At 45.1% G+C, this 24,632-nt stretch overlaps 1 protein-coding gene and 1 long non-coding RNA gene across 7 annotated transcripts in view, besides 6 other annotated features; one reads left to right on the forward strand and one right to left on the reverse strand.

Moving 5' to 3' along the window:
* The window catches only part of SLC16A14 (solute carrier family 16 member 14), a 33,943-nt gene extending 31,164 nt beyond the window's left edge, over positions 1-2,779 (reverse strand). For 3 of the 6 annotated variants that reach the window (XM_005246353.5, NM_152527.5, XM_011510752.3), the window contains exon 1: positions 2,410-2,779. The gene's annotated coding sequence lies outside the window, so the exon portion shown is untranslated. Of the gene's footprint in view, positions 1-953; positions 2,057-2,409 lie in introns of those variants that run through there. The other 3 variants (XM_047443523.1, XM_017003480.3, XM_011510751.4) reach the window with 3 other exon arrangements.
* Positions 594-24,632, forward strand: part of LOC107985995 (uncharacterized) — a 75,437-nt gene continuing 51,398 nt past the window's right edge. Inside the window, exons 1-2 of the long non-coding RNA XR_001739918.2 lie at positions 594-632; positions 17,008-17,157. This is a non-coding gene — a long non-coding RNA (uncharacterized LOC107985995). The remainder of the gene's footprint in view (positions 633-17,007; positions 17,158-24,632) is intronic.
* Positions 1,487-2,257: an enhancer, noted in NCBI's record as "H3K4me1 hESC enhancer chr2:230932348-230933118 (GRCh37/hg19 assembly coordinates)". NCBI's record gives its function as "activates a minimal SCP1, AML or CMV promoter by ChIP-STARR-seq in naive H9 embryonic stem cells {active_cell/tissue: H9 hESC(naive)}" and the evidence as "EXISTENCE:reporter gene assay evidence [ECO:0000049][PMID:30033119]".
* Positions 1,487-2,422: a biological region, named in NCBI's record as "H3K4me1 hESC enhancer GRCh37_chr2:230932348-230933118".
* Positions 1,633-1,882: a silencer, noted in NCBI's record as "silent region_12405". NCBI's record gives its function as "represses an Ori minimal core promoter by ATAC-STARR-seq in GM12878 lymphoblastoid cells {active_cell/tissue: GM12878}" and the evidence as "EXISTENCE:reporter gene assay evidence [ECO:0000049][PMID:35858748]".
* Positions 2,153-2,422: a silencer, noted in NCBI's record as "silent region_12406". NCBI's record gives its function as "represses an Ori minimal core promoter by ATAC-STARR-seq in GM12878 lymphoblastoid cells {active_cell/tissue: GM12878}" and the evidence as "EXISTENCE:reporter gene assay evidence [ECO:0000049][PMID:35858748]".
* Positions 2,653-2,772: an enhancer, noted in NCBI's record as "active region_17207". NCBI's record gives its function as "activates an Ori minimal core promoter by ATAC-STARR-seq in GM12878 lymphoblastoid cells {active_cell/tissue: GM12878}" and the evidence as "EXISTENCE:reporter gene assay evidence [ECO:0000049][PMID:35858748]".
* Positions 2,783-2,842: an enhancer, noted in NCBI's record as "active region_17208". NCBI's record gives its function as "activates an Ori minimal core promoter by ATAC-STARR-seq in GM12878 lymphoblastoid cells {active_cell/tissue: GM12878}" and the evidence as "EXISTENCE:reporter gene assay evidence [ECO:0000049][PMID:35858748]".

The following is a 24,632-nucleotide window of genomic DNA, read 5'->3' on the forward strand; positions in this document are numbered from 1 at the left end:
AATACAAAAATTAGCCAGTGTGGTGGTGCGCACCTATACTCACAGCTATGCAGGAGGCTGAGGCAGCAGAATTGCTTGAACCTGGGAGATGGAGGTTGCAGTGAGCTGAGATGGTGCCACTGCACTCTAGCCTGGATGATAGAACGAGACTACCTCAAGAAAAAAAAAAAGTAAAAGGTAACCCACTCTAAGCAAGCTTGCTATTGGAAGCTTGACAAAAAATATTAGGGCTTCGTTATGAAGAGGGTGAAATAAGAAAATGGGAAGATTACGGGAGCAATAGTCAGCCTTCCATTCTCCCCAAATGAGTTCATAGACGATGAAAAAGAAATTGTAAATGGGGGGTAACATATATAGGCTATGAAACTGGGTCAGCTACATATTTACGTGATAATAGGCAGAAATGAAAATAACAGATCCTTCTAGGGTGTTTCAGATATTAGAACAAAATTAAATTTTCTACAGCAGCGTAGAAAGTTTTACAAGCAAGTCATTTTTTTTTTTTTTTTGACAGAGTATGGCTTTGTCGCCCAGGCTGGAGTGCACTGGTGAGATCTCGGCTCACTGCAACTTCCGCCTCCCGAGTTCAAGCGATTCTCCTGCCTCAGCCTCCCGAGTAGCTGGGACTACAGGTGTGTGCCACTGCATCTTTAGTATCTTTAGTAGAGAAGGGGTTTCGCCATGTTAGCCAGGCTGGTCTCGAAACTCTGACCTCAGATGATCCACCCGCCTCGGCCTCCCAAAATGCTGGGATTACAGGCATGAGCCACCGCGCTGGGCCAAGTCATTCATTTTTAATTTGGCTATTGTTATTACATTGCATGTGGTGAGCTCATTACACATAAGGAAAGCGGGAAGCACGAAGCTAAAATTGAAATTACAGTCTTCCCCAAAGCTACGCAGAGCGTGGTGGTAGCGGCTCTGCATCCCACGCAGGTGAGTGCGGGCTTCACCTTTAATTCTGCTCTGCAGGCGCTTCCGCGCTCTTCACCTGGTGTGTACAGGGCATTTGGGGCCTTTAGAGGGCGCACTTGCGGCCAGCAGGCTGAAGAGGCTGCCGCGGAGAAGGCTGGGGAGCGGAGCTGAGCTGAGCTGGTGCAGACAGCATAGGAGAAAAACAGAACCGAAAAATTCACACCGAATTAGGAGGACTCAACACATACATGCTTCGCTCTGGGTCAGGGACTGTGCTTGGTGGCTTCTCCTCCAGTCCAATTGGCATGAATGTCCGCATTTTACAGAGGAAGAATCTGAGCCATCAAATGGGAGCAATGAAGCTTAGAAAGGTTAAACTAGCAGGCTGTGGAAACCAAATCGGAACCCAGGCCTGCAGGATCCCAAGCCTGTTTTACCTCCTCCCACCCCCAACACTGCCTCTCTCCCCTCTCTTCTCTCTCTCTCTCTCTCTCTCTCTCTCTCTCTCTCTCACACACACACACACAGCCGCACACGCACGCACATGCAAACAAAGAAGCCAGACAAGGCAAAGGAGAATCTCTCTAAGCCCCAATAATGGCCCTCAGTCATCCTTGTTAATGAGCCCGAATCAACTTTTCCTCAGAAAGAAAATGGCTTAATTGGAAAGCAGAGTTCAGCTCCTAAAACATCGTCATGGCCTTGGCAGCGTTTAGCCCCGAAATGGCCGTCCCCGGTCTCTCACCCCATTTCAGCCTCTCTTGAGGAGCCTCAATCGGAAGCGCTAAGGGGGCCCAGCCTCTGCGCGCCCTGGGTGCGGGATCGTGCCCGCGGGGTCCGGCCTCGCGCCCCACCCTTCGAGCGCCCGCCCCCACCCGCGCTCGGTGCTCCCGCTCCCTTGGCACCCCGAGACCACATCCCCACTTCGGGCACCCCGCATCCCTCGGCGCGTTCGGAAGCCAGCAGCCCACCGGGGAAGCTGGGCCGGCTGCAGCACCACAGCCTGTGCAGAGAGGCATCCGCACCCCGCGAAGTCCCTAGGCGCAGCCCCGGGTCCCCCGCTCTGCGCCTCATCACTGTCCAGTTCGAGTCCCAAACGGGCCTAGAGAGCAGCCGGGCAGCGAGGCTGGGCTCCGGGCAGAACGCGCTTCTCCAGCCGGACGGGGGTGCCCAGGATGACGCTCGCGGGGCCCCGGCCAGCTTGAGCAGCAAGGCGCGCGTCCCCAAGCTCCGCCTGGCGGTCTGCCCTGAACCGCCGGTTACCCTGCCCGCCCGCAGCTCCCAAGCCCCCGCGGCGGCCTTGGCACTACCACCTGCCCCGGCACAGTCTCGCCCTCCACCGCCCGGGCAGCCTTTCCCGAGCCTGCCTTGGGCTGGGGCTGCCCCTTCCCGGGGGTCCCTGGGGGTGCAGCGGCCATCTGAAACCTAGGCTCCGATGCCCCCGGCGTCGCTCCATTCCCCAGGCCCGCGGCGCGCGCGGCCTCGGATACTCACCGCCCGAGGCCCGCTGGGCTGCGGCCTCACTCGGCTCCACGCCCGGATCCTCGAACTTGCTGCTCTGCTTGGAGCCCCCTGAGCTGCTGGGTGTAGAGATTTGTTGCAATGTCGCCTATCATCCTGGAGACGCGGGTGCCTGCGGCTCAGCTCTCCGCCCGGCTCGGTGCGCTCTGTGAGGGGCTCCCGGGCTCTTCCGCCGCTCGCTGCCAGGCCAGGTGAGCGTTTGGTGGAGCTGAAAGCTCGACGCCTCAGTCCAGGTGGCTTTAAAACGGGTGCGTTTGGAGGTGCCCAAACCTAACCTGGGCTTCCTTCCAATCGGAGCAATTTCAAATCTTCATGCTCGTTCATTCCTATACCGGCTAATTCTGGTTTGGCAGGGAAAAAAAATGCAGTCACCTCACATGCACACTCTTGTGGCCGGTTGAAGTTTATAGCTTTGGCTGAGGTTCCGCTAAGGCGCTGCACATTTATCACTGGCGGAAAGGTCCTGAAATCTAATCCAGGATGCAAGTGAGACTAGCAGTAGCCTCCATTTCTCTGAGATGGGAGAGAAGGGATGAAACAGACCCTCACTGAAATATTTTTGGCCAAAGAGGACTCAAAGTCCCTTATTCTCTCTCTTTTAGAGACACGGGTTTCACTATATTGCCAGGCTGGTCTCGAACACTTGGACTCAAGGAATCCTCTGGCCTTGGCCTCCAAAGTGCTGGGATCACAAGCTGAGCCACCGTGACCGGCCAGTCCCTCATTCTTGTTTCCACCCTGGGTCCCACCTCTCCCTGCTCTTTCTGCACGTCCATTACCTACCTTCGTGGGCACCAGGCACAACTTTCATCTCAATACCTCCCTACCTCATTCCCAGCAGGGCACACAACATAGTGCTTTGCCTTGGACAGTTTTCTGTATTATTGAAGTGAATGTGTGAGTCGATGAAGCCTGTGCTGTTTTTTCCCGCCTGAAGGTTTTGCAGTAATTCTCTGCTGCTGTTGTGATAAACTGCCACAGTAATAGCAGAGGAAAACCACACAAATTCACTATTTTACAGTTCTGGAGGTCGGAAGTTTGAAATGGGTCATACTAGGCTGAGATCATGGTGTTGGCCACCTTGAAGGCTGTGTTCCTTCTCGTGGCTGTAGGGGAGAGCCACCAGCTTCTGCAGGCCGCCCACATTCCTTGGCTGGTGGCTCTTCCTCCATCTTCAAAGCCAGCACTGCTGCGTCATTTTGTCTTCTTTCCATACTCACATTGCCTTGTCTCCCCTTTTCTGCCCCCACCCCTGTCCACTTTTAAGGACCCTGGGGATTACATTGAGTCCAATGAGATAATCCAGATAATCTCTCTATTTTAAGGTCAGCTGATTAGCAACCTTAATTCCATCTGCAACCTTAATTCCCCTCTTGCCATGTAAGGTAACAAATTCACATGTTCCAGGGATTAGGATGTGGACATCTTTGGGAGACCATTATTCTGCCTACCACAGATTTCCTTCTTTCTTCTTTTCCTTTTTCTTTTCTTCCTTCTTTTTCGTTTCTTTGAAAAAAAATTCACATGTATTTCACATTGCCTTCCTCGGTCACCCAAGCTGGAGTGCAGTAGCATGATCACAGCTCATTGCAGCCTCAACCTCCTGGGCTCAGGTGATCCTCCCACCTCAGCCTCCTGAGTAGCTGGGACTACAGGCACACGCCACCATGCCTGGCTAATTTTTTTGACTTTTTATAGAGACGGAGTCTCATTATATTGCCCAGACTGGTCTTGACCTTTTGGACTCAAGTGATCTGGCTGCCTCACCCTCCCAAAGTGCTGGGATTACAGGCATGAGCCGCTGCACCCGGCCTATATTGCTATTTCTTATATCAATTCTGTCTCTCTTTTTTTTTTTTTTTTTTTTTGAGATGGAATCTCACTCTGTCACCCAGGCTAGAGTGCAGTGGCAATCTTGGCTCACTACAACATCTGCTTCCCAGGTTCAAGCAATTCTCCTGCCTCAGCATCCCAAGTAGCTGGGGTTATAGGAGCGTGCCACCATGCCCAGCTAATCTTATATCAACTCTTGATTTAAAAATTATTGAGGCTGGGCACAGTGGCTCACGCCTGTAATCCCAGCACTTTGGAAGGCCAAGGCGGGTGGATCACTTGAGGCTAGGAGTTCAAGACCAGCTTGGCCAACATGGTGAAACCCCGTCTCTACTAAAAACACAAAAATTAGCTGGGTGTGGTGGCGCCTGCCTGTAATTCCAGCTGCTTGGGAGGCTGAGGCACGATATTGCTTGAATCTGGGAGGCGAGAATCGCTTGAACCTTGAGCTGAGATCGTGCCTCTGCATTCCAGCCTAGGCAACAGAGTGAGACTCTGTCTCAAAAAAAAAAAAGAAAAAAAAATTTTGAGAAAATTGTGAGAAATTGTGGCCAAGTGAGGGCATTTTGATGAGGTGCTAGGCTTCAGTGGTTTACATATCTTACTTTTGCTGATAAGAACACGGGCAACTGGATGGTTAGTGTTCCCTTGGGCGGTGCCTCTCATATCCACTCATTTCAAGCAGGCTTTTGACAGCAAGATTAGGGTTCCTGACAAGCACTTCAATTGCCGATGATCCATTTTGTTGGAAAAGAAGTCTGTAAGATTTTTAAGTCTGTTTTTTTTTTCTCTGAAAACTTGCCCACTTATGGAGGTATGATGGATCTCATATGAACTGTGCATATTTAGTGTCCAATTTGATGAGTTTCAGCATATGGAGGTAGGATGGATCTCGTATGAACTATGCATATTTAGTGTACAATTCGATGAGTTACAGCACGTCTATGGAACTACCACCTCAATCAAATGACTCCAAAATTTTCCTTGTGCTGCTTTGTAATCCTTGTCCCACCTCCACACACCCAGGCAGTCTTTAATTGGCTCTCTGAGAAGCTTCTACTCTGGACCATGAAGGCTTTTCTGATCAATTATTTTGTCTTCATAAGTTTCACTGCTCTTACCTGTCTGTTGGTCTCTCAGTGACACAGGTGGATTGAGGACAGGCCCAAAGCAAAGAGGACTGTGACCCATAAGTTGGTATGTCTGGGTTAAATAAATAGAAATCCACTATCAGGCCAGGCGCAGTGGCTCATGCCTGTAATCCCAGCACTTTGGGAGTCCGAGGTGGGCGGATCGCCTGAGGTCGGGAGCTTGAGACCAGCCTGGCCAACACGGTGAAAACCCATTTCTACTAAAAATACAAAAATTAGCAGGGCGTAGTGGTGGGTGCCTGTAATCCCAGCTACTCAGGAGGTTGAGGCAGGAGAATTGCTTGAACCCAGGAGACGGAGGTTGAAGTGAGACAAGATAGCGCCATTGCACTCCAGCCTGGGTGACACAGCGACACTCTGTCTCAAAAAAAAAAAAAATCCATCTTCAATTAGAATGTAAAATATAAGCGCTAAACTCTTTTCATGTATCTGAAGTAGAGAAACCTGACATTCTCCCTTGATTTTTAGGCAAATTATATATTTTCTCTCAATAGCAATCTTACCTTTAATTGAATTGCATTAGCTAACAACCTTACATCTTAAGAATGTAAACTAATTCACATGCTGCCTGTAAAAGCCTCCTCTCTTAGTTCTAATCATGTACTCAATTGATTTCATAATCCCACCTTGGAGTTGGGGTGAAACTGAGAATTTGGACAATCTTTGCCTTAATTTTGGTGGTTTAATGGTGTAGAATAGGCACAGAGTGGGATAGAATTAGCTTTTGAGAAAGTTGCTAGCACAGAACATTGAAGGGGTTAGAGAAATGCCTTAAAGTGTCACCGTGACTGCCTCATTGTTGTAGCCAGCCCAGATGTAAAGATGACCCACAACCCACATGGTCACCAAGAATATCCTCTGTCTCTCAGTATGGCCCTGTTCCCCACTCCTCTGAGTTTAATGTGGGAGATCAAAGACTAGAATCCAGAACACAAGTGCCTGAAATGCAAGTGTGCTCAGAAATCACAGGGCAAGCCACACGCTGCACAGCCAGGCAAAGTTTTATGAAGGAGGAAGGAAATGCTTTCTCTTACACAGGGCCAGAAATCCAGTGCTGTGCCCAAATCCGTGCCACCTCTTGGCTTGGTGGGTCAGTCTGTGCCCCCCCAGGATTCTCCCTGTGACTGGATTTATCTTTCCGTAAGTGCAGATGCTTTTACCAAGTGGGGACCTTGGTTACATCTGGTCTTGGCAGGTATCTTCAGTCTTGGCCTGCTGCCAAACCAGCCTCCAGGGATTTTGGACTTCAGCATGGCTTATGGGGACAGAAGGAGGTTGCAGGGCTGATAGCAGCCTTCAGCAGCCTGGAGTCTCATAAGAACCACCACACTGAGATGACATTGGTCATGGCTTCTGGGTGCCTCATAAATTTCAGATTTCAGCAAGGCCTCATTTTTATGCTTTATCCATGAACCATATGTGCTAGTAGTTACTTTTCAGCTATTCATTTATTTTTTCATTCAACAAATATTTGCTGAACGTGTATGATGTGATTTTATGAAGTGCTGGGGATACAGCAATGAACAAAACCAACACAAATGCTTTTCTGCACTAAGTATATGTTCCAGTGAGCAAGAAAAACAAGTTATATATATGTAATGCATATATGTGTATGTGTATTTATTTCTCTCTCTATATATATGTATATATATACATACATATATATACAATTAGTAATAAGCACTAAGAAAAAAATTAGGCAAGGACAGGGAAATTGAAGGGTTATTGTGATGGGAAACTTTAGAAGGGAGAGAGAAAGCATCAATAAGAAGTGCTGGAATGAGCCATGAGAATGACAGGAGGAAGCTCATCCTAGCAGGAAGAGTAGCAGGTACAAAGTCCACAAGGCAGAGGGAAGTGTCTGTAGGTCACCCTAAAGCCTTGAAAATCACAGGAAAAAAACTGGCTTTTATTCAGAGACAGGAAGCCACTGGAGAGTTGAGCAGGGGGGGCTGGGCATGGTGCCTCACGCTTGTAATCCCAGTACTTTGGGAGGCTGAGGTAGGTGGATCACTTGAAGCCAGGAGTTTGAGACCAGCCTGGCCCACATGATGAAACCCTGTCTCTACTAAAAATACAAAAGTTAGCTGGGCGTGGCCGTGCATGCCTGTAATCCCGCTACTTGGGAGGCTGACTACAATAATCCAAGGGAGAGACAATGGCTACTGGGACCATAGAAGTGGCAATGAAGGTTGTAAAACAAAATTGGATCTGAATATACTTTGGAGGCAGAGTTGTAGGATTTGCTTTCAGATTGAATGTGTGAGAGAAAGAGGAGTCAAGGATGACTCCAAGGTTTTGGCTAAGTGATTGGAAGAATGGAGCTGACATTAACAAAGATGGGAAGACTGCAGGAGGAGCTTGTTTGGGGGAGATATTAGGAGTTCAGATTTGGACCTGTTACTATTTTAATATGGCATACATAGTTACTCTTTTAATAGTTACTACTTTTAATAGTTACATGGGATACATAGTTACATGGGATACATAATTACTATTTTAATGTGGCATACATAGTAGTCATACAATGGAATATTATACAGCAATCAAAAGGATCAACTCCATTAATACACCATATGTTTGAATCTTAGAAATTACATATTAAGCAGAAAAAAGCATAATACTCTTTATGCAAAATTACAAAACTTAAACCAAATATTTTTGGAATGCATCTAGGTGCAGTGCAACTATCCAAAAAGAGAAGCAAGGAAAGATGAACATGGGACTTAGGTCAGGGATGACAGGGAGAAGGGATGGGTATGATTAGATGTGCCTTGTTGTGCTGGCTTCGTGGACACTTATTTAATTATTAAAATCAATTAACTTAGCCAGGCATAGTGGCTCACCCCTGTAATCCCAGCACTGTGGGAGGCTAAGGCAGGGTGACTGCTTGAGGGCAGGAGTTCAATATCTGCCTGGGCAACCTCAATAGTGAGGCCCCATCTCTACAAAATAAAAATTAAAAATAACAGCTGGGTGTGGTGGCATGCACCTGTAGTCCCAGCTACTCAGGAGGCTGAGGTGGGAGGATTGCTTAAGCGCAGGAGTTTGAGGTTACAGTGAACTATGATGGTGCCACTGCACTCCAGCCTTGGTAACCAAGCAAGACCTTGTCTTTAAAATAAATAAATAAATAAATAAAAATAATGAGCTCACTATGACCAAGTGGGACTTATCCCAGGAATGCAAGGTTGGTATGTATTTGAAAATCAGTTAATGTGATAGATAGTATCAATAGAATAAAGGATGAGGTGTGGGCCTATAGTCCTAGTGACTCAGGAGGATGGGGTGGGAGGACTGCTTGGGGCTACAGTGAGCTTTGATCCCACCACTGCACTCTAGCCTGTGCAAAAGAGCAAGATCTAAAACAACAACAACAACAACAACAAAACAACAAAATGAAAAACAGCCCGGTGCGGTGGCTCACGCCTATAATCCCATCACTTTGGGAGGCCAAGGCAGGTGGATCACTTGAGGTCAGGGGTTCAAGGCCAGCCTGGCCAACATGGTGAAACCTTTTCTGTACTAAAAATACAAAAAGTATCTGGGCGGGTGTGGTTGCACGTGCCTGTAGTCCCAGCTACTCAAGAGGCTGAGGCAGGAGAATCGCTTCAACCCAGGAAGCGGAGGTTGCAGTGAACTGAGATCATGCCACTGCACTCCAGCCTGGGCGATAGAGCGAGACTCTTTCTCAAAAATAAACAAATAAATAAATAAATAAATAAACATTTTAAAAAAGGAAAAAATCAAAATAACATGATCATCTTAATATATACAGAATAAGTATTTGACAAAATACAACACCCTTTCATGACTAAAAAAAACACACAACAGACTAGCAATTGAAGGGTACTTCCTCAACCTGATAAAAGGCATCTACAAAAACTCACAGCTAACATCATACTTGATGGTGAAAGATTGAATGCTTTCCCCTAAAGATCAGGAACAAGATAAGGATATCCACTTTTGACATTCCTATTCAATATAGTACTAGAGATTCTAACCAGGGGAATTAGGCAATAAATAAATAAAAGATTAAAAATTAAAAAAAGAAATAAAGGGCATCCAGAATAGAAAGAAGAAAATAAAATTACCTCTATTTTCAGATATATGATTTATATACAGAAAACATAAGGAATCCACTAACAAGAATAGGACTTAAGAAGTGCATTCAGCAAAGTTGCAGCATACAAGATCAGTGTATGCAAATTAATGATATTTCTATACACTAACAACTCCATTTACAATAACATCCAAAAGAATTTTAAAAATTGGGAATATGCTTAAAGGAAGTGCCAAGCTTGTACTCTGAAAATTACAAAGCATTACTGAATGAAAATAAAGACCTAAATACCTGAAAAGACATCTGCCTGAACACCAGTGGGCCTTACAGCCCAGGCAGATTCTGTAACCCTGGTTCACCAGGCCAGTCCCCAGCTGGGCCTACATTGTCTCCTCTGCAAGAAAGGATCAGGAGATATCAATGTATTGCCAAGACCAAATACCAGCATTAGAGAACTTTTAGGACTGTGTAATCAGTGATTATGAAAATAAAGAGCTCTCCTCTTCCTTGTTGCGAAGTAGCAGAGCATTTATGGTGAAAGCCAAGAATGCACAGAGTTGAGCTGTTTCCGAGGTCAGCCAGACCAAAAGCCCAGCTCCTCCATCTGTGTGTACTTGGCCTGGCATCAGCGCTGGAGTGGGTGTAATACCAGCACCTACATCAAAGGGTTGTTGTGAGGATTAAATAAGACAACACACGGACAGCACTGTGCCTGGCACATCATTAGGGGACTTATATTTAAAGTAGTGATAAGAGCGTCATCCAAGCCTATTCCACCTGAGAGAGAGAATTGCCTGACACGAGAACCCTCTTGAGAGGCAGCATATATTAGTCATTAAGAGTATAAAGCCTGGAGCCTCACTGCTGAACTGCAATCCCAGCTTTCACCACTCACCTCTTTATCTGTTAATGAGGTTGCTGAGCATCTCTACATCTCAGTGTCATCTTCCGTAAGACGAAAATGTCTCAGCCCATTTGGACTGCTGTAACAACATACCATAAACTGGGTGGCTTATGCACAACAGACATTTATTTCTCGCAGTTCTGGAGGCTGGGAAGTCCATGATCAGGGTGCTGCAGATTTTAGTGTCTGGTGAGGGCCCATTTCCCGGTTCATATACAAAATCTCACTGTGTCCTCACATGATAGAAGGGGCAGGGCACTCTCTGGGGTCTCTTTTATGAGGACACTGATCTCATTCATAAGAGCTATGCCCTCATGACCTAATTACATCCCAAAGGTCCTACCTCCCTAATACCATCACCTTGGGGGTTAGGTTTCAATGTATGAATTTGGGGGGGATACAAACTTTCAGACTGTAGCAGATTAATAAAAATAATACAATAATAAAATATATAAATATTTTAACAATATTTTATTATTTTATAAATAATAAATATACATTTTATTTATATTTTATTTTATAAAAGTATAAATATATTTTAATAATAATAATAATACCTACCTCTTGAGTTGCTGTGAGGAGTAAATGATTTAAAGTATGTGAAGGCTGGGTACAGTGGCTCACATTTGGAATCCCAGCACTTTGGGAGGCCGAGGCAGGAGGATTGCTTTAGTCCAAGAGTTCGAGACCAGCCTGGGCAACAAAGTGAGATCCGTGTCTCTACAAAAAAATGAAAAAATTAGCTGGGCATGGTGGCATGTGTCTGGGGTTCTAGCTACAAGGGAGGCCGAGGCAGGAGGATCACCGGATTCCAGGAGGTTGAGGCTGCAGTGAGCCACTGCACTCCAGCCTGGACAACAGAGTGAGACCCTGTCTCAAAAAAAAGAGTATATGAAGTCCATTGACCTGTACCTCCTGATGAGATATACTGAGAGGAACACAGCAGCCCTTCTGTGAGATCGTTGACAAAAAATACATAGGTCTAATCATGGGGAAACATCAGACAAAGCTGAATTAAGGGACATTCTACAAAATAACTAGCCTATCCTTCCCAAGAAGGTTGGCATCACCAAGGGTAAGCAAAGATTCATGAAGAGCCCAGCTTCAAGGAGACATGAGAGAAATGACAAATAAAGGCAACACGTGATCCAGGGTTGCTTTTACCAGTTGTGGTGGGACCATCAGCTAAATCTGATTAAGGTCTTGAGATTAGGTAATAACACTATAAGCCTATTAGTTTTTTAAAATTTTAACAATTACAGTACTGTGGTTATGTAAGAGAATGTCTTTTTTTAAAAAAAGAAATGCTCGCTGAAGTATTTAGGAGTAAAAAACAATTTTTTAAAAGTATGAAAAGTTCTTAGAATGATCCTTGGCACATAGCACCCATGGGTGTTAGCTATTATTTTCTAGCTGAATTTTTGCAGGGCCAAATTCCATTTAGTATCCAGCAGTGCTATTGTGACCTTTATTAACAATGCTGCAGGAAACTGGCTAATCTAACTGCTTTTTCTTTTCCTGTTTCCCAGCGTTTGGTTTCTGATCTTATGCAGTCCCGGAAAATATGTACCCCATAAACATACACATCCACTAAGTATGCACAATGTTTTTTAATTGAAAAAGTAAAAAAAAAAAAAAAAGAAAGAAAACATAAAAGAAAATATAGAAAAGCTACAAGGACTTTCCTTTTCTCACACTTAACACCTCTCTGTTCCTCTTGGTTCCTTCTGCCCTCCCTACCTTTCTCCATTCCCCTTTTATGGGTCTTAGTTTATTGGTGGAAGCTGAGCCCACCTGTGGCTCCCGGGGCAGGACTGGGTGGATCAGGCTCCTCTGCCTCAGCAGGGAAACCTGCCTGCTGCTGAGCATGGAGAGGGCTGCTCAGCAGAGAGGAGTGGGGCATTTGCAGAGAAGTGGATCTCCCAAAGAAGGCTTTTAAATAGTTCTCTATGGTCTCCTGTCCCGCGTGGGATTGGATAATCAGGTGACACATGGGGGAGGGGTGGTGTCACATAAAAATGCCTACCTAAGCCGTGTGCTGCTTCCCAATTTATTTTGTGACTAACTCCCTAGGGACCAGGATGGCCAGAGAAGGGCAAGAGAACTTCGGATTAGTTAGTTAGGGCTGGTTTTCTCAAAACCCTTGTCATGCATGGATGGCTAAATCTTGAACCCAGTCCTCAGTGACTTTTACCTTGGGATAAGAGGACCAAATTATTGTGTTTGTTGGTGACTGGACAGCTCCTAATAAAACATAGTCATCTGGATTCATTGTAAGGAAGGCCAGCATTGATATGGACGTGTAACTAGCCTGGAGTCCCACACACTTGAGCCACAGTGGGGCCTTCAGGATACTTGCGGTAAAACAAAAATCATAATCAAATGCAGTTCATGGAGTTTTAAACCTCCATGGAAAGAGGTCTGCCAATGGGAAGGATGAAAAAAATGGTTTGATCCGGCCAGTCATGGTGGCTCACGCCTGTAATCCCAGCACTTTGGGAGGCCGAGGCAGGCAGATCACGAGGTCAGGAGATCGAGACCATCCTGGCTAACATGGTGAAACCCTGTCTCTACTAAAAATACAAAAAAAAAAAAAAAATTAGCCAGGCGTGGTGGCGGGTGCCTGTAGTCCCAGCTACTCGGGAGGCTGAGGCAGGAGAATGGCATGAACCCGGGAGGCGGAGCGTGCAGTGAGCCAAGATCGGGCCACTGCACTCCAGCCTGGGCGACAAAGCAAGACTCCATCTCAAAAACAAACAAACAAACAAAAAAAATGGTTTGATCCTCCTCAATAGGTATAGAGGTGAGAGGACGGAGAAGGACATTGTTCATAGAGGTTATACTGGCTGCAAAAATAGGAGGGTGTGCTTCTTGGGTATCAGGACTGTCAGAATGATTTGAGGCAGTATCTTCTGGAGGGTGAACTGGTAGCACTGGTGATTTTAGACCCACACTGACTAGCAGTAACTAACACTAGGTCTCCTTCAGGCATTTTAAAAGAGTATTGAGCTCCTACAAGGTGCCAGACACCAGGTATCTAGGTGCTGACACATCAGTAATAAACACGTGCATGTGCAATTCTTTTTCAGTTCATTGAATACTCAAGGAGAAAGTCCGGGTGGAGTGTTTAACACCTCTAATTTATTAAGGGAGAGAGCAGTCTTCAGATTCGGAATCATCAACAAGTAGCCCTACCTAGTTGGAATTTAATAACCATATATTGTTTTTAGGTACTTATTTGTGGTTTCTCTTATTAATTTATTTAACAATAGTTATTGAGGGCCAGGTGAGTCCTGGGTGACGGAGAAGACTGTATTGGACAAGCTGACAGGAGTTCCTGTTCTCATGGAGTATGCATTCTAAGGGAGAGTGAAACAGGCAATATTTCAGGTGCTAAGCATTATAAAATAAAACAAAGTAGGGTGAGGGGAGTGAGAAGGAGGTTTCTTTGCTCTTTTACATATTTACAAGTGGTAGACTTGCTTTCCATTTACATAAATGATATGACACTTCTTATCAAAACAAAATTTAAGTTAAACCTGATTTCATTTAAAGAAAGTGATAAGTAAGTAATTGTTCAGCAAGATGGTAGGCAAATAACTGACATGTGGCAAGCATTGCTTTAACGCAATTGTTCCCTGCCTTGGCTACACATTAGAACACCTGGGAGCTTTTGAAAAAAATCCAGATGGTCAGGCCAAACTCCAGACAAATTGCATCAGAAGAATTAGCCAAGAAATCCTCATCCCCTGGCCTCACAGTGTGTTTATTTTCTGGAGAAACTGAACCAGAGAGGGTCCAGATTCAGGTATCAGGCAGGGCAGAAGGTGGAGCTGAGGATCCAGAGGTCTGTGGGGTTGGGTGACATCTGTATACTAAGTGGTGGGACACCGCCAATAAACTTTCACCTCTCCTGTTCCCAGGAGGGCAGCCTGGCTTATTTTCCCAAAAAGGAGACTAGAAGATTCTTCCCTGGAGAAACTGAATAAGTTCAAAAAGGCTGAATTGAAAATAATGATGTTTGGGGGTACCCAGTGACAAAGTAGGCTTTCCACCCAATAAAAACCAGTAAAATATAAGCATTGGTATACCCTTCCCTGCCCAAGAACACAGAGCTTCTAATTAGCTATAGGATGGAGGTCTAAATCTATGCCTGCTAAGCTAATTGGGTTTTTAAAAGTTGGTTACGGCGATGGAATTGGAGGGATGGCCCATGCTTAGAGTGTGGGCACTGACCGATCCCATCCTGAGCGAAGTAGGTTACATAGAGGTGCCAGCCGGCTGGAGTTGCCTCTCCACTGGCCCGCCATTGGTGTGTGCTCACTAAGAAGAGCAACTGACCATGCTTACAACGAGCCTGGCTTGATTCTCACATCTTTATGAATTATTTTATTCAATTGTCACAATACCTCCATGAAGGAGAGGCTATTATTTTCTCATTTATAGGTGAGGAAACAGGGGCACAGACGGGTTAAGGAATTTGCCCCAGTTCATGAAGCTAGTAAGTGGCTGAGCTGGATTTGAATCAGGCAGTCCAGCTCTACAGTCCCTGCGTCAACCATGATACATGCTGCCTTTAGTTGAGTACACATTTTAAGTGGGGGAAAAATCTCAAGAGACATGTCCCTGGTTCCTGCAGGCTACAGTTGGTTTGAGGAACAGGTGTCCCTGTCTCCCTAACCAGGTGCTTAAAGGCTTCCTTGACCTGACCCAGCTCACGTTTCAAGTGTCCTCCTCTGCTACACCTGTATTGTCACTGTTCCAGGCTGAGTGGATTGCCCTCAATTTCCAGAGGACATTTATGCTTTGTGTTTCTATGTGCTTTTTCCTTGGCTTGGGATCTCCTTCTACTATACTTTTTTATTTATCATAATCCTTTTCTTTTTTCTTTCTTTCTTTTTTTTTTTAGTCATGACTCAACTCAAGCTAGCTCCTTCATGGCCACATCTCTCAGATCAATTTTTTTTTTTTTTTGAGACAGAGTCTTGCTCTCTTGTCCAGGCTGGAATGCAGTGGTGTGATCATGGCTCACTGCAACCTCTACCTCCCAGGTTCAAGTGATTCTCCTGCCTCAGCATCCTGAGTAGCTGGGATTACAGGTGTCTGCCACCATGCCCAGCTAATTTTTCTGTATTTTTAGTAGAGATGGGTTTTCACGATGTTGGCCAAGCTGATCTCGAACTCCTGTCCTCATGCGATCCACCTGTCTTGTCCTCCCAGTGTTGGGTTTACAGACGTGAGCCACTGTGCCCAGCTCAGGTAAAAATGAACAGGACCTCTTTTATGAACCCATGGGATTTGTCTGGTACTCTGTGGAGCACTTCTGCTGTTTTTTTCTGTCTGTCCAGTACATATCTTCTTTTTTTCTGCTAACAGCAACCTGGTTTTCCCCATGGTGAGCCATCTCTGGTAAGGGTTGAGCTGCCTTTTTTTTTTTTTTTTTTTATTGAGACAGAGTCCCACTCTATCACCCAGGCTGGAGTGCAGTGGAATGATCTTTGCTTACTGCAATCTCGGCCTCCCCGGTTCAAGCAATTCTCCTGTCTCAGCCTCCCGAGTAGTGGGGATTACAGGCATGCGCCACCACATTCGGCTAATTTTTGTATTTTTAGAGATGGGGTTTCACCATGTTGACCACACTTGTCTCGAACTCCAGACCTCAGGTGATCCACCTGCCTTGGCCTCCCAAAGTGCTGGGATTACAGGCGTGAGCCACTGTGCCCGGCTGGGTTGAGCTGCTTTTACAGGATCCCAGGCCTATCCTGTCAGGGCATTCTTTTTTTCTGACTATAGAAATTGGCTTGGGAATAGACCTATGACCCAAACCAAGCCAATTGTACCTCAAATCTCAGCTCTTTGACTGTAGCTGTTGGGAAAGAGGCATTGTCTGCTGGGCTTGCCAATCTGATAGAAACTAAGCCTCGAACTGCTGGGGGAAACTTTTATTGCCTTATGGAAGCACAGCCCTATCTAAAATTAAAGTCAGTGAAAACAGAACAGAGCCAAAAATTGGAGAGACGAAGAAATCATGGCCTCATTTAAGCTGCTGGGTCCAGCCTTGCTTTCCAGAATCTCTGTCTGTGTTTTTCCGTTACTTGAACCGATATGTGCTCTTCAGCCAGTGTGAGTTGCAGTTCATCCTATGCAAGTGCAGGAATCCTGATGCACACGTGGCCCGTGCGCCTTGTATTAGGATGATTCATGGTTCTGAGTTCTAGGGGGAAAGGATACACATGTGATTCTCTGTGCAGCACAGGGCATAGAGTAGGTATCCCGTCATACATGTGGACTTATTGGGCCACTCACACTCACTGCTGTTGGGTGTGTCTGAGGATCCCATGGTGTTCCTAGGGGCCTTGGAGAGCATTCTCTGGTTTGCTGATCTTGTTCTCTACTTCCTTCTCTGGAAATCAAACTTTCCCTAGTTGCCGACAGCAAAACCAAGTTGCTGTGGGAAAACATCTTTTTACTTGTTCAGTCCAGAACCACCGCTCCTCTGATCCCTTTTCCTTGGAAACTCCGTCTTGGCAATGAGAAGGGTGTGTTCTTCTCTTGAAGTTTCTCTCAGGGCATTTGAGATTATTGGTAGATAATCTCTATGTTTTGTTTAAATTTGACAGGAAACCCAAAGGTTTGTGAGAGGATGGGATTTGGAGGGAGCCATTTCCTCATCAGGAAAGGAGAAAAAGGAGAAGTCTTAACGTAAAGGACTGAAGTTCAGAACCTCAGGACTGTCTGTACACAAGGACAGTCCACAGCAACATTGTAAAGTAAGTTAAGTGTCTTTGGAGCCCGGTCAATTCCCAAAACAGTGGCCCATCTTTTCCCTCCTGAAGTTCCTCTCCAGGTGGTTTCTTGCCCATCAAGCCTCTGAGGTCAGTTGGTCCCCTACTCCTGTCCAGCTGGCTCTCCCACACTCTTTACCTTAGATGACTGAAAATTACATTCCTCATTCTCCATTCAATTTGCCCATCTTCCGAGTCCCCAGTGTCTTAGTGGTAACATTACTGTTGGTCACCCAGCTAGAACAGATGGGCATTTCAGAAGTAAGGGTCAGATAATGTCACACCCCTCTGGCCCACACTGTTGAATCAAGCCCTCCCATTTGAAGCACTCTTTACTCCCACTTCACCCCCCTCCCCCAGCCTCAGCTCCCATCAGTTAGGCCTCGGGCCTCTGCACATCCTGGGCTCCAGCCCTGGGCTCTTCATACGTTGGGAAAATAATAGTTAAGGACAATATTCTCAATCCCCTGTGATCTGTCCCAAACTGTCTTCTAGTCTATTTGAGGACAGCAGGACTGATGCCCAGCTGGTATTTCCATTACGGCCATACAGGGTATGAAAATGTTGACACATTACTATCATGACTGGTCAGTAGGTAAATAGCTGCTTCCTGGTTCCTTGCTACACCTTACCTGCCTCCTGCCAAGGCTGGGTTCATTCTGATTGGTGGGTGATCTTGCCTTACCAGATATGAAATATATTGAATATCGCTCCTGGGATACCTAAAATTGCTGTACAAAATAGCTATAATTCCATGTTGTACATTTATATTTTATTATCTTTTCAAACATTTTTTTTTTGAAGACAATATAAAGATGAGGTCTCACTATGTTGCTCAGGCTGGTCTAAAACTCCTAGGTTCAAGCAATCCTCTTGCCTTGCCTTCCCAAAGTGCTGAGATTATAGGTGTGAGCCACCATGCCCGGTGTATTAGACATTTAAACGTACTGAGTTAAATCATTTGCCGGAAGGCTGGGTGTGGTGGCTCACACCTGTAATCCTAGCACTTTGGGAGGCTGAGGTGGGCAGATCACCTGAAGTCAGGAGTTCAAGACCAGCTTGGCCAACATGGCGAAACCCCGCCTCTACTAAAAATACCAAAATTAGCCAGGCGTGGTGGTGCATGCCTGTGGTCCTAGCTACTTGGGAGGCTGAGGCAGGAGAATCACTTGAACCGGGGAGGTGGAGGTTGCAGTGAGCTGAGATCGAGCCACTGCACTTCAGCCTAGGCGACAGAGCGAGACTCCATCTCAAAAAAAAAAGAAAATTCATTTGGTGCAAATATATAGTTTTTGAGGGTCTGCTATGTGTAAGCCTTCCAGGGTCTACTTGCTGGGCCTAACGAAATGCAGGAGAGAGCTATGCATCCCCACAGGGATGTACTGTACCCCACATGGACGCACTACACCCCACAAAAGCCCAGATGCTTGCATGTCCCCAGTCTCTCATTTCGTGTGGCACAGAGAAACAGGAACAGAGAAGGCAAAAGGTGAATACCATGATGGAGAGGCCACTGGACAGATTTCTTGGAGTCTGGTGGATGACTGAGGCTACGGGAGCTGGACAGCTGCATGGCAGTGTCTGCCGGGTGACGTTGCAGGGAAGAGGCTGCACAACTTGGGAAGAGCCTCCTAACATCCATGGAATTTGGGAACAAAAATCTCAAGTTTCTGACCATGGATAATATCTTTGCAGTGAAGGCTCTCTCCTGCCCCGAATTTTTTATTTTCCTTAAAATGCACATGTTATCCTTAGATGATTCCTACGCCACTGACTCAGTTTGGAATGGCATAAAATAAAGCTAGTAGATGGAAAGAATTCTTAAAAAGCCAAAGGGAAAAAACATGCTGATGTGCTCAGTTTTTCTCCTTGTCATTAACCCTTTGAGAGCTGGTTTATTCCTCTGCGGGTCCCCAGGCCCCATCTCAGTGGCCCTTAGAGTGCAGCCTCTCCTCGTTGAGTGCAGACCCAGGTAAATGTACACAGCGTAAAGATTCCTGCTCTAGGGGTTAGCAGGTTTTGGCTTTCAACTTGCCTTACTACTGGGATGACGAAATTGGCCTTTCCTCTGCTCTTGCTGTGAACATGCATCTGCGTCATTCATTTCAACACACAGGGTGGTGGAAGCAAATAGCACTCTTCTTGTTTCTGAACTGCATCTGGGGGTGGGGGGCGGTGGCAGTGGGGAGATCGGCTGCAATAGAAGCTGGGCATATAGAGACCATCTCTGTTTTTAAGACATGTACAGCCTGTTAGTCAAGCAGGACCAGAGTTTCCAGCAACTCTTTCTCTTCCTCTGCACACTGACTCTCCCCAGTGGGGGCCCACCTGTGTCCATTCTCATGGGCCTGGATTGCAAACTAATTCCAGGCTAGTGTTCAAATTGTTAAGGGACCACCCATTGGGGGGTGCTGGCATTCTAAAAGTTAATTTGCCAGTATCCAAGGGTTGAAAGAAATGTTGGAGATTAACTAAACCAGTAGTCACCAAATTGGGCCAAATCCAGCTTGATACCCATTTGGGGGAAATACAGTTTTAGTAGAATACAGTTTTAGTAAATACAGTGGAAGACAATACACTTATGTATTGCCTAGGGCTGCTTTTGTGCTATAATGGCACGAAGTAGTTGCAATAGAGACCACATGGTGTGCAAAGCTGAAAATAGTTATTATTTTCTCCTTTTCAGACAAAGTTTGCCAACACCTCATCCAATCTAATCCTGTTTACCTCCCCATACAAGTGACTGTTCAATTATGGAACACCTATGATAGCTCATTTCCTAATACTCACCAGCTTTTTAATTCTAGAAGATTCCTTCTCATGTTAAGCTGTATTTGCTTTCTTTTTTTTCCCTACTACTTTATTGGAAAACTAGAGTCAGATAATCCCAAAGAGCTAGCCGGCTAGTCTTTCTTTCTTTTCTTTCTTTCTTTCTGTTTCTTTCTTTCTTTCTTTCTCTTTCTTTCTTTCTTTCTTTCTTTCTTTCTTTCTTTCTTTCTTTCTTTCTCTTTCTTTCTTTCTTTCTTTCTTTCTTTCTTTCTTTCTCTTTCTTTCTTTCTTTCTTTCTTTCTTTCTTTTTCTTTCTTTCTTTCTTTCCTTCCTTCCTTCCTTCCTTCCTTCCTTCCTTCCTTCTTTCTTTCTTTCTTTCTTTCTTTCTTTCTTTCTTTCTTTCCTTCTTTCTTTCTCTCTCTCTCTCCTCTCTCTCTCTTTTTTTTTGAGACGGGGTCTCACTCTGTTACCCAGGCTGGAGTATCGTGATGCGATCATGTCTCACTGCAGCCTGGACCTCCTCCTAGCTCAAGTCATCTTCCCACCTCAGCCTCCCGAGTAGCTGGGACCACAGACTCGTGCCACCATGTCTGGCTAATTTTTGTATTTTGTTGTATTTTTTTTTTTTTTTTTGAAGAGACGGGGTTTTACCTGTTGCCCAGGATGGTCTCAGACTCCTGGATTCAAGCGATCTGCCTGCCTCTGCTTCCCAAAACACTGGGATTACAGGCATGAGCCACTATGCCTGGCCCAAAGATTAGTTATTTCATTTTCTTCTCACCAATGATCTCTTCCACCAATCTGTGAAGATGTTTGTAATTCCATCATTAGATCATTGGCAAGAAGGAAATGAAATAACAACCTTTCAGACCACCTGACATAGGTAGTTGCCTCTTTTCTTCACACTTCAAAGTTTACCCTTGTGCTGAAAATTTGGAGATTCAACTTTGTTCTAAGCAGAGCCAAATCAACCTTTGAAAGTGGGATTAACCACACACCAGCATTCTCTTTTTAGCCCTTTGAAAGTGGTCAGCTTATAATATTATCATGATTCACACACACACGGAGTATGGATTTCAGATCTTTCTCCCAGAAAAGGAAAAATACTCAAATAGAAATAATTATGCAAGGGAAGAAAACAGTCTGAGATTTTGTAATTTCAGGGTTTCAGTTAGATACTATTCCCTTTCCTAGTGCTATGTGACAAATCACACCAAAACTTAGCAGCTTAAAATAACCATTTGATTTTGGGCAATCCCGGTGGCTCATGCCTGTAATTTCAGCAGTTTGAGAGGCCAAGGCAGGAGGATCTGTTGAACCCAGGAGATTGGGACCAGTCTGGGCAACATAGTGAGACTTCGTCTTTACGAAAACAAAAACACAGTAAGCCAGATGTGACGGTGTGCACCTGTAGTCCCAGCTACACAGGAGGCTGAGCTGCAGGGATCACTTGAGCCTGGATGTCCAGGCTGTAGTGAGCTGTGAATGAGCCACTGCACTCCAGCCTGGGTGATAGAGTGAAACCCTGCATCAGAAAACAAAACAAACAAACATTTAATTTTGCTAACAATTTAGTGGATCAGGAACTTGGGAAGGGCTCAGTTGGGCCATTCTGATTCAAGGCTTCTCATGTGGACAGTCAGATGTCAGCTGGGCTCGACCTGCAAGATGGCGCACTCTGATGGCTGGCAGCAGATGCTTTTTGTCAGCTGGGTGCTCAGCTGTGATGTTGGCTGGAGCGCCTACACATGGCCTCTCCAGCATGGCAGCCTCAGTGTCATTGGACTACTTACATGGCAACTCAGGGCTCCAAGTGCGAGTGGTCCGGAGCATGGCAGATGCATTCCTGATTGATTGAGGCAGTCACTAGCCCGTCAGATGCAAGGGGAAGGGGACTAGAATCCCATCTTTCAATGTTAGGAATGGCAAAGTCACACTGGAGAAGAGCAGGTGGGATGGAGATATTGTCGTGACCATCTTTGGAAAATGGGATTTATCACAGGTACTGTCCTGAAATTGTATTTTCTATTTCTTCAGGAACCATGGCACACCCAACATATGACCCAACTGAGAGGAACTTTCAAATAAGTTTTCTCCACTTTCTATTCTTTAGTCCTTCTCTTCTCAATTGCTTCCCACCCTCCATCCATAACAATGGTACAAATGAACTATCCTCATACTCTGGATTGCCTATAATATTAGTTCTAGACATCAATGGCAGTGTCATTCAGTCACACTCTACTTTGATACTAAATTTATGACTTTGCACAATCATTTTATCTATTGCAAGTTGCTCAACAGTTTTGTTTTCCTGATGTTTATGTCAGGATAGGTGGACAATAGAGGGTAATTGATCATTTTCTGGAAGGGGTTTTGGAAAACTTCCAGAAGAGTGAGAGGACCCATTCCCCACCTGCCCCAAGAAAGCCACCTGACTCTGGTACTCTACATAGCATATCTTATGCAGTCTTGCCCCTGAAACATTGCCATAAGTCACACATCTGCCCTTCTTCCCTCTCTCCCTTTTCCTTAGGCCTCACAGCTATCCTACTGGTTCTTAGAATTTTTGAATAGTAGTTTTGGAGAAAAATTTTTATGCAAAATATATAAACACATGAATCACATTTAAATATTTCCTGTACCAGCAATTCTAGTGCTTGCCAAGTTATTTAGGAGAAACAGGTAAGAACCTGTGGGGAAAAAATGGATTAATTCCTGATAAGTATTTTACGCATCATTTGTATATGACTGCCTTAGTCTGTTTTCTGCTGCTATAACAGAATCCCACAGACTGGGTAGTTTATAAAGAAAAGAGATTCAGTTGGCTCATGATTCTTGAGGCTGGCTGGGAAGTCCAAGGCTGTGATACTCAGCCATCTGGTAAGAGCCTTCTTGTTGCATCTTCCCATGGAGGAAAGTGGAAAGTTACGTAAGTGCTCAAGACAGAGAAAGAGAGGACCAAACTTATCCTTTGTGTCAGGAGCCCACTTCCATGTTAACTAACCCACTCCTGAGATAAAGACATGAATCCGTTCATGACAGCAGACCCTCACTCATGACCTAATCACCTCTTAAGGACCTTATGTCTTAATACCATCACAATGACAATTAAATTCCAACATGAGTTTTGAAGCAAACATTCAAACCATGGCAATGACTAAGCTGTTTTGTAACTTGATATAATTCAGGTCTGTATAAAAATTAAAGGGAGAGGCTCCCCGCAAAAAATAAAGTTTGCATTTTTTTTTTTTTTTTTTTTTTTTTTTTAGACAGGGTCTCACTTTATCATCCAGGCTGGAGTGCAGTGGCACAGTCATGACTTACTGCAGCCTTGACCTCCTGGACTCAAGTAATTCTCCCACTTTAGCCCCCTGAGTAGCTGGGACTACAAATATGTGCCACCACACCTAGCTAATTTTTTATTTGAAGACACGGTGTCTCACTATGTTGTCCAGGCTGGTCTTGAACTCCTGGGCTCAAGAGATCCTCCCACTTCGGCCTCCCAAAATGCTGGGATTACAGGCATGAACCACTGTGTCTGGCAGTTTGCAATATTTTATGAAGGCATTAGGAAAATGTGTGTGTGCATGTATGTGTGTGTGTGTGTATACTTTATGTACACCTATTCTATGAAATCACATGACTTAGGAATAATTTAAATGCCCTCATTTTTGGAAACTAACTGTATATTAGTATATATGCTTGCTATGTTGTCAGCTACTCACCTCTACTTGATTCTCATCCAGCAGCGCATCTTCCCTTAAAGCCATGTGCTAGTACTTGCTGGTGTTCAGACAAACTAGGCAGCAGGTAGAAGACACAGTTTGGGAGTCTGTCGTGCCCAATATCTAATTTTTCCATCCTGGAGTTGACAGCCATTTTCTCATGCTATAAATGCACCCAAACTTTATTTGCATGAAAATCACTCCAGGTGTTTGTTCAATCACAGATTCCTGAGCCCCATCTCTGAAGATTCTAATTTAGTAGTCTGAGGTGTGTCCAAGGGATCATTTACCATAAATGATTCTGCTGATCCAAGCTCTCCCAACTTACTGCCTCACTGACTCTCATGTACTCCTTCTCCTCTTATCCCAAGCTTCTATTTTCTGCTAGGTTATGCCCTAGTTGTATTAAACCATCAGAGAATGAGAGAGAGAGATAAAAAGAGAGAGAGAGGAAAAGAAAGAGAGAGAGAAACCAAGATCTGAGGGGTGAAGACATAAACATTCTTCTCTATGGCCTTCATTTAGTTGAGCATAAACCTGATTTCTTAGCCTGAAGGGCATCTGGCCAGGGCTGGAATTGGACCAAAATAAGCAGTTTATCAAATGATATGGTTTGGATATTTGTCTCCTCCAAATCTCATGTTGAAATGTAATCCCCAGTGTTCGTTGGAGCTAGAGCCTGGTAGGAGGTATTGGATCATGGGGGCAGAGGCTTCATAAATGGCGTAGCATCATCCTCTTGGTGACAGGTGGGTTCTCACTCTGAGTTTTTGTGAGATCTAGTTGTTTAAAAGTGTGTGGCACCTCCCCACGCTTGCCTCCTCTCTCACCACGTGACATGTTGTCTCCCCATCACCCTCTACCATGATTGGAAGCTCCCTGAGGCTCTCGTCAGAAGTGGATGCTGACACTATGCCTCCTGTACAGCTGAAAGAACCATGAGCCAATTAAACCTCTTTTCTTTAT

Source organism: Homo sapiens, chromosome 2 (assembly GCF_000001405.40).
Source record: "Homo sapiens chromosome 2, GRCh38.p14 Primary Assembly".
Lineage (NCBI taxonomy): Eukaryota > Metazoa > Chordata > Mammalia > Primates > Hominidae > Homo > Homo sapiens.